The 12,605-nt window shown below is 51.4% G+C and overlaps 1 protein-coding gene across 11 annotated transcripts in view, besides 1 other annotated feature; it reads left to right on the forward strand.

Annotated features, from left to right (window-relative positions):
* TRIO (trio Rho guanine nucleotide exchange factor) overlaps positions 1-12,605 on the forward strand; it is a 366,863-nt gene that overhangs the window by 351,767 nt on the left and 2,491 nt on the right. For 8 of the 11 annotated variants that reach the window (NR_134469.2, XM_047417679.1, NM_007118.4 and 5 more), the window contains 7 exons: positions 1,771-1,909; positions 2,739-2,766; positions 2,981-3,143; positions 3,411-3,532; positions 7,471-7,549; positions 9,285-9,485; positions 12,014-12,152. Coding sequence is in view for 10 of the 11 variants with exons in the window: in XM_047417679.1 (XP_047273635.1) it covers positions 1,771-1,909; positions 2,739-2,766; positions 2,981-3,143; positions 3,411-3,532; positions 7,471-7,549; positions 9,285-9,485; positions 12,014-12,152 (871 nt within the window). In the remaining variant the exon portion in view is untranslated. The remainder of the gene's footprint in view (positions 1-1,770; positions 1,910-2,738; positions 2,767-2,980; positions 3,144-3,410; positions 3,533-7,470; positions 7,550-9,284; positions 9,486-12,013; positions 12,153-12,605) is intronic. The other 3 variants (XM_017009801.2, XM_017009802.2, XM_047417681.1) reach the window with 3 other exon arrangements.
* Positions 2,499-3,698: an enhancer, noted in NCBI's record as "CDK7 strongly-dependent group 2 enhancer chr5:14497716-14498915 (GRCh37/hg19 assembly coordinates)". NCBI's record gives its function as "activates an origin of replication core promoter dependent on BRD2, BRD4, P300/CBP, MED14 and CDK7 cofactors, with strong dependence on CDK7, by STARR-seq in HCT116 cells {active_cell/tissue: HCT116}" and the evidence as "EXISTENCE:reporter gene assay evidence [ECO:0000049][PMID:35650434]".

Below are 12,605 nucleotides of genomic sequence, written 5' to 3' on the forward strand. Positions count from 1 at the left end.
CTCATGGATGACTTTGAAGGTTTTAAGACTTCAGTGAAGGAAATAACTCAGATGTGGCAGAAACAGCAAGAAAAATAGGATCAGAAATGGAGCCTGAAAATGTGGCTGAAGAGCTGCAATCTCCTCATCAAACTTGAACAGATGTGGAGCTGCTTCTTAGGGGTGCGCAGAGAAAGTGGTCTCTTGAGATGGAATCTACTCCTGGTGAAAAGGCTATGAACACTGTTGAAATATTGGCAAAGAATTTAGAATATTACATAAACTTAGTTGACAGTGCAACAGCAGGGTTTGAAAGGATTGATTCCAATTTCCAAAGAAGTTCTACTCTGGGTATAATGCTATCAGTGTCACATGCTGCAGGGAAGTCTTTTGTAACAAGGGGAGTGGTGGCAAATTTCTTGTTGTCTTACTTTAAGAAATTGCCCCAGCCAGGCCAGGCGTAGTGGCTCATGCCTGTAATCCCAGAACGTTTGGAGGCTGAGGCGGGTGGATCATAAGGTCAGAGTTCACAACCAGCCTGGCCAACATAGTGAAACCCCGTCTCTACTAGAAAAAAAAAAAAAAAAAAAAAAAAAAAAGGCCAGGCGTGGTGGCTCACGCCTGTAATCCCAGCAGTTTGGGAGGCCAAGACGGGTGGATCACGAGGTCAAGAGATCGAGACCATCCTGGCTAACAGTGAAACCCCATCTCTACTAAAAATACAAAAAAAAATAGCTGAGCGTAGTGGCAGGCGCCTGTAGTCCCAGTTACTTGGGAGGCTGAGGCAGGAGAATAGCTTGAACCCACAAGGTGGAGCTTGCAGTGAGCCGAGTTCGCGCCACTGCACTCCAGCCTGGGTGACTGAGCAAGACTCCGTCTCAGAGAAAGAAATTGCCACACCCACTCCAGCCTTCAGCAACTACCACCTTGATCAGTCAGCAGCCATCAGCATCAAGACAAGACCCTCCACTAGCAAAAACAGTACAATTCACTGATGGTGCGGATGATAGCATTTTTTTTAGCAAATAAACTGTTTTTAATTAAGGTATGTACATTTTTTAGACATAATACTATTGCACACATAATAGACTCTAGTATAGTATAAACTTAACTTTTATATGCACTAAGAAACCAAAACTTGATGTGGCTCACTTTGTTGTGGTAGTCTGGAACCAAGTCCCCAGGACCTCTAAAAGGTATGCCTGTCTAGAAGTGGATTTATGATGAGAAATTGCCTCACATAGTTAGGGAGACTGGCAAGTCCAAATCTGCATGTGGACCAGCAGGCTTCAGACCCCGGAGAGCACGTGGTGCAGGCTGAGCCTGAAGACAGTCTGCTAGAGAACGCCCTCTTGCTTGGGAGACCAGACTTTTTGTGTTCCCTTAAGGCCTTCGGCTCATTGGATGAGGGCCATTCACCTTAGAAAGGGCACATGCCTTTACTGGACCCATCAAAATGTTCATCTTATTCAGAAACACCCTCACAGGAATACCCAGAATAATGTTTGAACAAATATCTAGGCGTCCTGTGACCCAGTCAAGTTACACATAAAATCAGTTATCACAGGCACCTTTATATTTTCATCCTCAAACTTTAAGAGATTGTTGGTTTTATCTCCTGGTTCTTAAAAAAAAGGAACATTTTCTCTAACAGAGGTCACAGTTCGTAGAGGATTTCCCATCCCCCTGCACACACATACGTTGAATATTCAGCTTTTCTTTAACGCTTCCAGGCAGCACTTGGTGAATGTTGGAAAGGCATAATACCCACAGTGTGTTCATTTCCCCTAGGAAGTCAACATCTTGGCACACAGCACTCCGTTTAAGGAAAAAATCTGAGAAAAAAGATAAAGACGGCAAAAGGGAAGGCAAGTTAGAGAACGGTTATCGGAAGTCACGGGAAGGACTCAGCAACAAGGTATCTGTGAAGGTGTGTTCGGGGGTCTTCAGGAGTCCGTGTCATCCCAGCATGAGAGAAAGGATCAGGGAGGGCAGAGACTCTGCAGACCTGAAGCTGGGCTTGCTTATGACCTCCCTCCCACCCACCAGCCCCGTGCCCTGCGTGTCCTGTAGGGTCTTGTTAGGGGCACTATGCTGGCCAGCACAGGGATGGGTGCGTCCTACAAGGAACCAGGTAGACCCCTGCACACTTCCGCAGGTGCACATGTGGCTTCTAAAGAATATGGTTAGGTTTGCAAATGAAGCACAGAGACTAGGTTCTCAGAAGCAGCGAAGGTGCAGAGAAGCTATGGCTCAGGCTTCCTTCAGTGTTCCTGCCTTAAAGCCAAGGGGAAGTGGCTAGATGTGGGGGTGCATATGGGCTCTCTGGCTGTGACAGATCCCCTTGGGGACAACTTCAGTCAGCTTTAGTCCTATAATCGGATTGCCTGACACCTGCGGTGGGGGTTGCCTGGAGAAAAAGAAGGTATCTCCTGAAAGGGACTCTGAGCGCCAGGGGCCAGGGCGTTGGCGGCTCTGCATTAGGAACGCATCTGAGGACCAGCTGGACTCAGCCTGTAGCATGAGAAAAACACACATCTAAGCAGTGTTTTTGTGTTTGTGGGTAGGAAGAAAAAGACCCACCCAAATTAGTGTGACATGAAACTTTTGAGTGCAGTGAAAATGTGGTCTGTTTTGATTGATGCCCAGGCAAGTCAGTTTCTGCAAATCTTTCAACAATAATTGTAGCCCTGGAATGAAAGGAATACACCTTAAAGTAGCTCATTTCAGTTAATGCTTGTTTGCTGTTTCCATTTCAGCTTCTCAATCCCAACTACATTTATGACGGTGAGTTCTGTTCTTTTTCTTCTAGTCCTAGAGATGATTCTAGACCTGTGGGGCATGTTTCAGAGCACTTGAGTGTGGCCTCTGGAAATGAGTTTTCCGTGGCGCTCTAGGCGTGCATAGCAGGTTAGGTCCTATCAATCTGTCGGGGACATGTGGGTGGGTGTGGAGGAGGAGCCAGGGCTGATGGGCCTTTACCGACTCCTTTCCCATGCAGTTCCCCCAGAATTCGTCATTCCATTGAGTGAGGTCACGTGTGAGACAGGGGAGACCGTTGTTCTTAGATGTCGAGTCTGTGGCCGCCCCAAAGCCTCAATTACCTGGAAGGGCCCTGAACACAACACCTTGAACAACGATGGTCACTACAGCATCTCCTACAGGTGAGGGAGGCCCACTCCTGGTGGGTTTCGCTGGCTGGGAGCACCATCTTGTCACTTGGCAACTGGAAATTCCTCCTTCACGGATGGATTTCTTTGGCTGCCTTCGGCACTCCACTTCTTCCGTGAGAGCCCATTTCACGCCTGGGTGTACAGCTCCTCATCAGCACTTGAGCTCCTGCCTTCCCTTGATCCTGAAGGAGGAGGCCAGCGCTGATGGCCACGTGCTCAGCTTTTCTGATGCGCAGTGTGTTCCCATCTGTGCCGCAGTGACCTGGGAGAGGCCACGCTGAAGATTGTGGGCGTGACCACGGAAGATGACGGCATCTACACGTGCATCGCTGTCAATGACATGGGTTCAGCCTCATCGTCGGCCAGCCTGAGGGTCCTAGGTAAGCACCGTGCAACGAGGATTCTACGTGACCCAGTGGGGCACGTCTTTCAGGAGTCTCCTTAAGTCCTGAGTCTGCCCTTACACTCCAAGTGGCCTGAAAGATAGAACAATAAGTCATTTGTGGGGCTTCAAAAGACAGTTGTAAGTAGCAGACCAGAGTGTCTGGGATGTCACAGGAGAGTGACCTCTCGGCACCTTATGTAAAGTCGGGGGAGACACCGGAGCTCCTGTTGCTGGGAGGAGGATGGGGGCCTGCCTGGTGAAGGCCTCTGGCTGCCCACCATGGGGCACCAGGGCCCCCCACGACCAGCTTCTGAGTTGGAGCAGGGTGCTTTCCGTGCTCCTAGTACTCAAAACACTCATATCCAGCTACCCAGCTGAATCTGGATCTGGTCTAGGTTGGTCTCATGTAGAATGTGCATGGGAAAAGCAGGAAAGGAGATGTGGGTGAGTCCCGGGCCTGCGCAGGCCCTGTGCCTGTCTGAGACCCTAACAGCAACCCTTCTGGGTGAATGCACGCCCTCCTCACCCCATCCAGGAGGAGCCAGGCCCAGGGCGGCTCAGTAGCTTGTCCAGAGCATCTGGCTAGGAGGCATCTGCCATGGGGCCTGCTTGCTCCAGTGTGAAGAGCTTGTTCTTTCTCCTCAGCTAAACCACAAGCTCCCTGGGGCAGAACCAATATCTTAGGCTCTTTCAAAACGTCCTGTAGTTGCCTGATGTAGATAGCTGCTGAGAAAGGTGTGGACTGTTCTCTGCTGCCATCTTGCAGAAGGCCGGCCATGCAGTACTGGGCTGCACCACAAATGGAGGTGCCTCCAGAGGACAAATAAAACTCCAAATGAAAGATAAATTGAGTCCTGGAGCACCCCGTCTGTAGACAATAAGCAGAATTTGTCTTAGAACTTTTGTCCCAGATATCTTAATTTCCTGTTTTTAACAACATTAAATCAGAAGACATGTTCTGATTTTTTGGATCATGGAACAAGAAATCTAAAACTCTAGAATTTGGCAGTAAACAATAAAAGGTAAAGATTTTCTAATTTGTAAATAACACAGAAATTACACAGGTGATTTTTTTTTTTTAATCACTGGCAAAAGCTAAAGGACTTTAGAAAGGTATACTATTCAGCTGGGCGTAGTGGCTCACACCTGTAATCCCAGCGCTTTGGGAGGCCGAGGTGGGTGGATCACCAGGTCAGGAGATCGAGACCATCGTGGCTAACACAGTGAAACCCTGTCTCTGCTAAAAATAACAAAAAATTAGCCGGCGTGGTGGCAAGCGCCTGTAGTCCCAGCTACTCTTGAGGCTGAGGCAGGAGAATCACTTGAACCCAGGAGGCAGAGGTTGCAGTGAGCCGAGATCATGCCACTGCACTCCAGCCTGGGTGACAGAGCGAGACTCTGTCTCAAAAAAAAAAAAAAAAAAAGACTATTCATACCCTGGAAATGCAAATGGGAAAATAATCCAAGTGTGTAGTTACTTCTATCACACAAATTCAGCTGCACCCCTAAAGGTCTTCAGAAGAATTATCTTATGTGGACTATTCCAAGATGATCTTAACCATTTCCAAATTGTTCTCTGAGAGAAGCCACTTTGTTTGCAGGCATCAGTAATTTTGTGTTTTGTTTTAAATCTACCCTTGGCTCCACTCCTGTCTGCCTGAGGCTATTCCTGCACCCACAAGCTGTCTGGGGTGTGCGCCCTCATTCTCTCCAGCCCTGGCTGCCTTGCAGAGCCCCAGTTCTCAGATGCTCAGGAAACAAAGCCTTATTCTCAGTCCAGCTCTGGCTCAAGGCAGGTAGCTGGTCAGAGTCTGGGCTATGAGAGGGGAGTCCTGAGGCTGGAGGCATTGGCCCTGCACCCTGAGGACAGGTGCAGGCCCCCAAACTGTGTCCGAGAGAATCATCCAAAGAGAGCCCTGTCATCCCACCAGCCAGGGCCGAGGCTTCTGTTGATGAGAAAAGGGGGCCAGGTGCAGTGGCTCATGCCTGTAATCCCAGCACTTTGGGAGGCCGAGGCAGGTAGCCATGGCTTGAGCCCAGGAGTTAGAGACCAGCAACATGGCAAAACACCATCTCTACAAAAATACAAAAAATTAGCTGGGTGTGGTGGTGTGCGCGTGTGGTCCCAACTACTCTGGAGGCTGAGGTGGGGGGATCACTTGCCACCTGGGATGTTGAAATTGCAGTGAGTCGAGATTGCACCACTGCGCTCCATCCTGGGTGACAGAGCAAGACTCTGCCTCAAAAAAAAAAAAAAAAAAAAAAAAACACACAGGGAAAAAGAAAGGTGTGTTTTAGAGGAGCCAGGGAGCACCTGCCCACTATGATGCTCTGTCTCTGGGTCTGGTTGGTGGTCACAGAGTCGCCATTTATGTTTGGTCCACTTTTCTGTATATATGTAATGCTCGAATAAAAATGTTTATTTAAAAAAAAGAAAAAAAAAACACCAAGCCCTTTCAGTTAAAAAAAGAAGAAAAAATATTTTTATGTAAATAATAGTCCAATATTTCTTAATGTGAGTTGGTAGATGCTTCAAATCTGCCTAGTGAAATAATTTTATTTTTATTAATGCTTCTCTCTCAGTACTCCTTCACCTGCAAGGTCAGAATTAACCTTACCATTTATAAAGCACTTTAAAGGGGTGCAAATGTGCCAGCATTAACAAAAAAAGACTGCAGAACAAAACGTAGCCTTTGGTTTAAGTGATTGACGTGAAATTATTGCTTCTCGTGTGTCCTTCAGTGAAGATTTGAGGCTTTGTGTGTGCCAGGCATTCTTCTGGTTTCTGGGAGGCTGCAGAGGTGGATCAGACACGGGTTCACTTGTAGTCATGTAGCGGTCAGCAGTACTCCTGTGACAACAGTGCTAGCTGGCAGCACATGGCATCCACCAGGACTGCCCACTGCTATGTGAGGAGATGATTTCCAGCCATGAGTGAGTCAGGGAAGGCACATGGAGGAGGTGGCCACCACCCCAGGGAGCCCAATTAGACAAGTCAGCTTGGATTGGACATGGTTTAAGGAAACGCATTCCCAGTGACAACCTGGGGAGAGGTGAGGAAGCCCACGTGAAGATAGGGATGGGCAGATGCTCGGCCTGGGCTGGACTGCAGGTCAGGTGAGCGGGCCGAAAGAGGGGAGAGGAAACTAAGTGGGGAGAGGAGGCTGGATGAGTGGGGTCGGGAGGGCCAGGCTCCCGTGGAGGCCTAGAATCACAGTGGCAGCTGTGCTTCCCAGGGGCTGCCTGGCAGCAGGACCACGTGGGGCTCCCCCACTTAGTGCTTCTTTTCACAGGAAGACTCTTGAAAGGATGCTTTCTGTTCCTGTGGACATGTACACAGGGTTCATTACTCACAGGTGATTTACAGTTGGCACTTTTATAATAAAATCCTCTTTGTAGTGTATTTATGATTCATTAACCATGTAAAACCCTGTGGACGTTAAGTAAATACTGTGGACTCTTGATCTCTCACGGCTGTGAAAGGAGGCGTGGGGAGGAGAGAGCAACTTAGCCTCGAGGTGGTGCGGCCAGGTGAACGGGGAGGACCATCTGTAGCAGTGCTGTCCAATAGAAGCAAAAAGAGGCCACATATGCAAGTTTAGATTTTTCTAGTAAACACATTTTAAAAATAAAAGTAAAAGCAGTTTTTACTAACATGTATTTAATTTAATGAAATACATCCAAAGTATTAGATTTCAACATGAAATCAATATTTGAAAAATCATTAGTGAACTATTTTGCATTCTTCCTTCACACTAAGCCCCAGTGTCTGTGTGTCCTTTATGCAGCCACCACATCTCCACTCGCATGAGCCGTGTGGCAGGTGCCCGGTGGCCACGCGCAGCTGCTGTGAGGGACAGTGCGTGGCGATAGCCTTCTTACCCAAGAAGCTCCACGGGAAACAAGCTCAGGCAGGTGCTGTTCTTCTTGCAGGTCCAGGGATGGATGGGATCATGGTGACCTGGAAAGACAACTTTGACTCCTTCTACAGTGAAGTGGCTGAGCTTGGCAGGTATGATGCACAACCCAGAACGCCTTCCGAAAGAGCAGAGCGTGGGGAAGACATACCAGAGAGTGCAGGGATAAAGCTAAGCAGTGTTATCTTGCCAGCAATTGGAAGCTGTGTGTCTTGCATTTGAATCGTAACTCTCATTGCCTTTAGACGCTAAACACTGGGGAAGTAAGGAAGCCATTTTCCACTCGGGTTCCAGCAGAGAGGGCCGAATGCCACCAGTCACCCCTCAATGGGGAGAAATTGCTTCCCTCTGTGAATGTGGAATAGTGGTAGCTCTGTGCCGTCCTTGGGAGAGTTCAGGAGTCTTTCAAACGCTTCTTGTAGTTCTTAATCCTCTTGTGCCCTTCACGTTTCATTTGTGCATGGAGACTTCAAGGAGTGACAGTAAAATTAGATGCACAAACTAAGAGAGAGGTTTCCCCATCAAAGGGGTTCTTTCTCTTCATGAGGGGCAGCCGAGTCAGGGGTGGCCCAGCAGTGCCATCAGACAGCCCGGCTTCTCTTGGCTCTGCCTCCAGGGCCACACAGCACACACATTCAGGTGTTGTGTCCCATGTGGCAGGAAGAGCAAGGTCAGAGGAGCATGACAGCTGTCCTTTGTCCCTTGGTAAGAACTCCCCCAGAAACTCCAGCCAGCAGCACCCTCTGGCATTCATTCCTGAGGTCATAACTAGTCACATGGCTCCTGTTGCTGTCTCTGTCAGCTGTCTGTGGCTGCATAAAAAGTCACACCAGCACATGCTGTCTTAGGACAGTGGTGACATGTGCCTTCTTCCAGTGCAGTGGGCAGATGGGACCATTATTCTGTTGGCCTCTCCTGGCCTGGTCAGCTGGTGCACCATGCCCCATGCGTGTCAGAGGCGTTGTCTGGGACACTGGCCTCTTTCCACATCGACTTTCACCCTGGGCTCCCCCACGTGAGGGCAGTGGCATCCCAGAACAGCAGGAGCAGGAGCGTCAAGGCCTCTGAAGGCCCAGCCTCAGAACGACCAACGTCCTCCACATCCTGTGGGCCAGAGCCAGCCCCAGGCAGCCCTGATTCAAGGGGACGAATAGCCCCCGCCTCCGAGTGACAGAAGTAGCAAAACCGTGGCCTTTAACCACACAGTCTGCCCGCCACAGGCGCATCTCTGGTCCTCACATGTGCAGAATGCACTCACCCACCTCAGGCCCCCAGCCCAGGCCCCCACCTGAGGTCCAAGGCCTCGTCCAGATCGCGTTGAGTTGTGGCCAGTCCCCAGGAGTGGGTCATCAGGGGCAGCTCCAGGGTCCTCGTGCCTGCCCCACACACCCCCACAGGGGCGAGGCTGAGGCAGTGACCACAGCAGACGCACCTTTCAAACGTGCAGGGAAAGGTGGCTGACGGGAGGCGTGAGCAGCCATCCCAGCTTCTGCTCGTCGTGGGAAGCAGAAGGGAGTCGCCCGGCAAGGCCAAGGCTCAGAGGTCTTCCTCTGTCACTTCCACCACACGCAGTGCTGGGAAAGCAGCCACCGACGTGAGGAGACCAAGGCTGCCTGGGAGGAAGGACCAGCAGAACCGCGTGGCTGCGGGGACAAGGGCAGATTTGGGGGACAGCCATGGCACCACAGCCCCTCCGTGGAGTGGCCGGGAGAGCAGGGCCTCTGGACAGGGCTGGGCCACCACACAGCCAGTCCATTTAGGATAACAGAGTCTTTCTCGGTGCCAGACCTCAGCAGCCTCTGCAAATGGTCCCCCTGACATATTTTACAGGGGCAGATTCTCTGTCGTTAAGAAATGTGATCAGAAAGGAACCAAGCGAGCAGTGGCCACTAAGTTTGTGAACAAGAAGTTGATGAAGCGCGACCAGGTCACCCATGAGCTTGGCATCCTGCAGAGCCTCCAGCACCCCCTGCTTGTCGGCCTCCTCGACACCTTTGAGACCCCCACCAGCTACATCCTGGTCTTAGAAATGTGCGTACACACCTGGCCTTCCCTCTGCCCAGCCCTCTGCCTCCACCTCAGGGGGTTTTGTTGTTCCTGTTTGTTCTCTAAGAAGGATAGAAATTGGGTTTGTAGAATTTACAGAACTAAAAAACATCTTCACTGTCAGAGCCCGCAGTTTTCAAGCCTTCCAGTAATGGCAGAAAGCAGTGTGGTCTTCCACAGGGCGGTTGCCTGATGAAGGGCAGTCACTGCTGGGATGGAACACCTGATATGCTCAGCCAACCCGGAGATGCACCCCCCCCACCCCTTTTCTGAAGGTCCCATGAGGCCAGGCTGTCTCTGGTGCTGAACCCAAGCCCCCATTAGTGGTTGGAGGCTGACCTGATACCCCAAGCCTGTGCAGGGCCAGCTCACCCCGGATCAGCGGGGTGCCCCTCAGGCCTCCTGCCAAGTGAAGGCCAGTTGGATGGGAGGGTAAGACGCACCTCCCCGCAGAATGTCCTCCGAAGAGGGGGCGCGGGCACACCAACCAGAGCTGCCCCTCTGGTCCCCGTTGTACTTACTGGGCTCCTGTGTAAGATCAGAAAATAATTTAGTCACGTCAAGAAAAGAGTTTGAAACCTGTGTCCCACAGGAGCGGTTCTCATCTAGGGGTGGGTTCTCGTGGAAATGTCAGGAGAGCTCAGGCTGGGGGTGAGTCCGGCAGGGAGCGGCCGGAGGCCAGGGATGCCACCCAACCTCCTGCAAGGCAGGGACAACCCCCATGGATTCATCCACCCCAAACATCTGTGCATTTAGCTTTGAAAAATGTCGATTCCTCCTTTTTAGGGGGAGTCATTTTATACATTTACTTGCATTTACAGCTGCTTTTCCATGGGGAAGGGTAAAACCTTTTGTCACCATTTGGGAAGTTTGCATAGCTTCTTCAGTGGGAAGGATAGGATTAGCAGGGCGCCCCCATGGGGTCATGTAGGGGCAGACTCAAGCTCGGGGCCCCTCGCCGGCAGGAACTCCCTCCAGGCCCTGTACCTGATGTTGTAGTTATTGTCATTTTTTTCTTAAAGAAACTATAAATGCCTCCCCATACCCTTCCTAGGGCAAGGCTGCCACAGCGTCCCACATGGCCCCACATGCAGCCTTACCAGCTTCCTCGGGCCGCCCATGTGCCATGGGTGACAGTGGGTGTCTCAGGAAGGCCTCCCACCCATGGCTGCACAGCTAGAACCTCCCCCAGCACATGGGGACGTGCTTCCAGCCCGTCTTTCAAGAATAGAAAACACATCTCATGGCAGAAGGGCAGACGGTGGGGCGCAGTGAGGCTGAGCAGTGTGTATGGAGAGGAGGTCCACTGGCCTCGCCTGGCCTCAGTCCCCGCCCTCCCTCTCATCGGCTCATTTCTCACCCTGGTGTCCTTAAAAGTCACACTGGCTTTGGAGGGTTGTCGTGGGGCCGAGATGGGGCGATGTGTGTGGAAGAGCCGAGCCGACATCCAAGCCGAGGCCTGGCCTGGGAGCCTCAGGACCCGGGAGGTCTCCTTTCTGGCTCCAGACGCTGGTGACCAATGGCCACTGCTCACCTTCCCTGGGGAGTTTTAACAAAACTGTGGCTTGAGTGCTTGTCACAAATCTCCTAAAGGCCTTCGTTTCTGGACTGACATTTCAGTGCTTTCAGCTGTCATTTCTGGGAAACAAAATGGTTTGGCCTCACCATCCTGTTAATAGGATCCGTTTTCATGACAGATTACTCCTGTTCTCACCGGCGACTCCCCATTGCTAGACAGGCAGCTGATCTTCCTACAGATTTCTGTTTTGCAAAGAGAGCAGCATAGGCCGGTGTTGAGAGAGGTGGGGGCCAGACCACCTCAGTCCAATCCTGGCTTCTCCACTCTGGAGCTGTGGGACCTTGGGAACGTTTCATGCTTTCTCTGTCCTGAGTTTCCTCGTGTATCAAATGGGTACACTAAGGCCCACTTCACAGAGAGTCATAAGGATTAAATGAGTTGTTAGAAGGCATTGAGCCCCTGGCACTTGGCAGTGCTGGGTAAGTGTTTTTTTAGTATGAACAGTAGTTTCAGAGGAGGAAGTCTTCTGAGTCCAACACTGAGCACTCAGTGTGTCACCTCCTGCCCAGCCTGTGGTTACATGATCTCGGTGAGTCTTCCCGTGGCCCATTCTACAGGTGAGGAAACTACAGCTCCGAGAAGCATGAGCTACTTGCCTTCCTTCAGCAGATACCGCAGGATGCCTGCTGCACCTGGCACTGCCGGCAGCCGGGCCACGCCATCCCCCGCAACAGGCGGGTTTGGACCCTTGACTGTGCCGCTCTACCACCGGCTTCCCTCTTAAGATGGAGACACCCTGTACCCCACTCGCATCTTCCCAACAGAGCTTTACAAAATCCCCCTCCTTGTCTAGTCACGCCTTAGAGGCACGGCCCTGAGATCCCGATGACACATTCATAACAGGTGACAGGTCCGACATGTTTACTTCTTACTAGCCCAAAGAGGTCTTCAAAGCAAATCGCATCATAACAGTCACCCGCTCCTGCCTCTTTAGGGCTGACCAGGGTCGCCTCCTGGACTGCGTGGTGCGATGGGGAAGCCTCACTGAAGGGAAGATCAGGGCGCACCTGGGGGAGGTTCTGGAAGCTGTCCGGTACCTGCACAACTGCAGGATAGCACACCTGGACCTAAAGGTTGGTGAGGCCCCGGGCAGGTGAAGGGGGGTCTGAGCACACCGGCTTGGCCATGCGGGACACAGAGCCCCCTCTGAAGCCAGGCCAGGAGCCCCCAAGTGACTAGGGACAAAAAGGGTGGGTGGGGCAGCGCAGACACTGATTGCTAATCTCTCTCTCTAAGCGTTTGCGTTCAGTGATGCACACGGTCAGGAGCACACTGGGTAAAACGCCGGAGCCCTCCCAGCCTTCCACGACTTTCAGAAAGTCCCCATGAGTTTTGCCCGGTGGGTGTGGCGGGTGCAGTGGTAGCTTAGGCGGGAAAGAGAGCATTCCCCTTGGTGCTGGGAGGGAAAATGAACACCCAGCTTCATAAAGCAGCCTGGTTTCATTAGGCTACTTGGCACTTAGATCTCCAAAGAGAGCTGCCCTGTGTGGATCTGGGTCCCAGCTCCGCTGTGTCATCTCTTCCTC

Source organism: Homo sapiens, chromosome 5 (genome assembly GCF_000001405.40).
Source record: "Homo sapiens chromosome 5, GRCh38.p14 Primary Assembly".
NCBI classification, from domain to species: domain Eukaryota; kingdom Metazoa; phylum Chordata; class Mammalia; order Primates; family Hominidae; genus Homo; species Homo sapiens.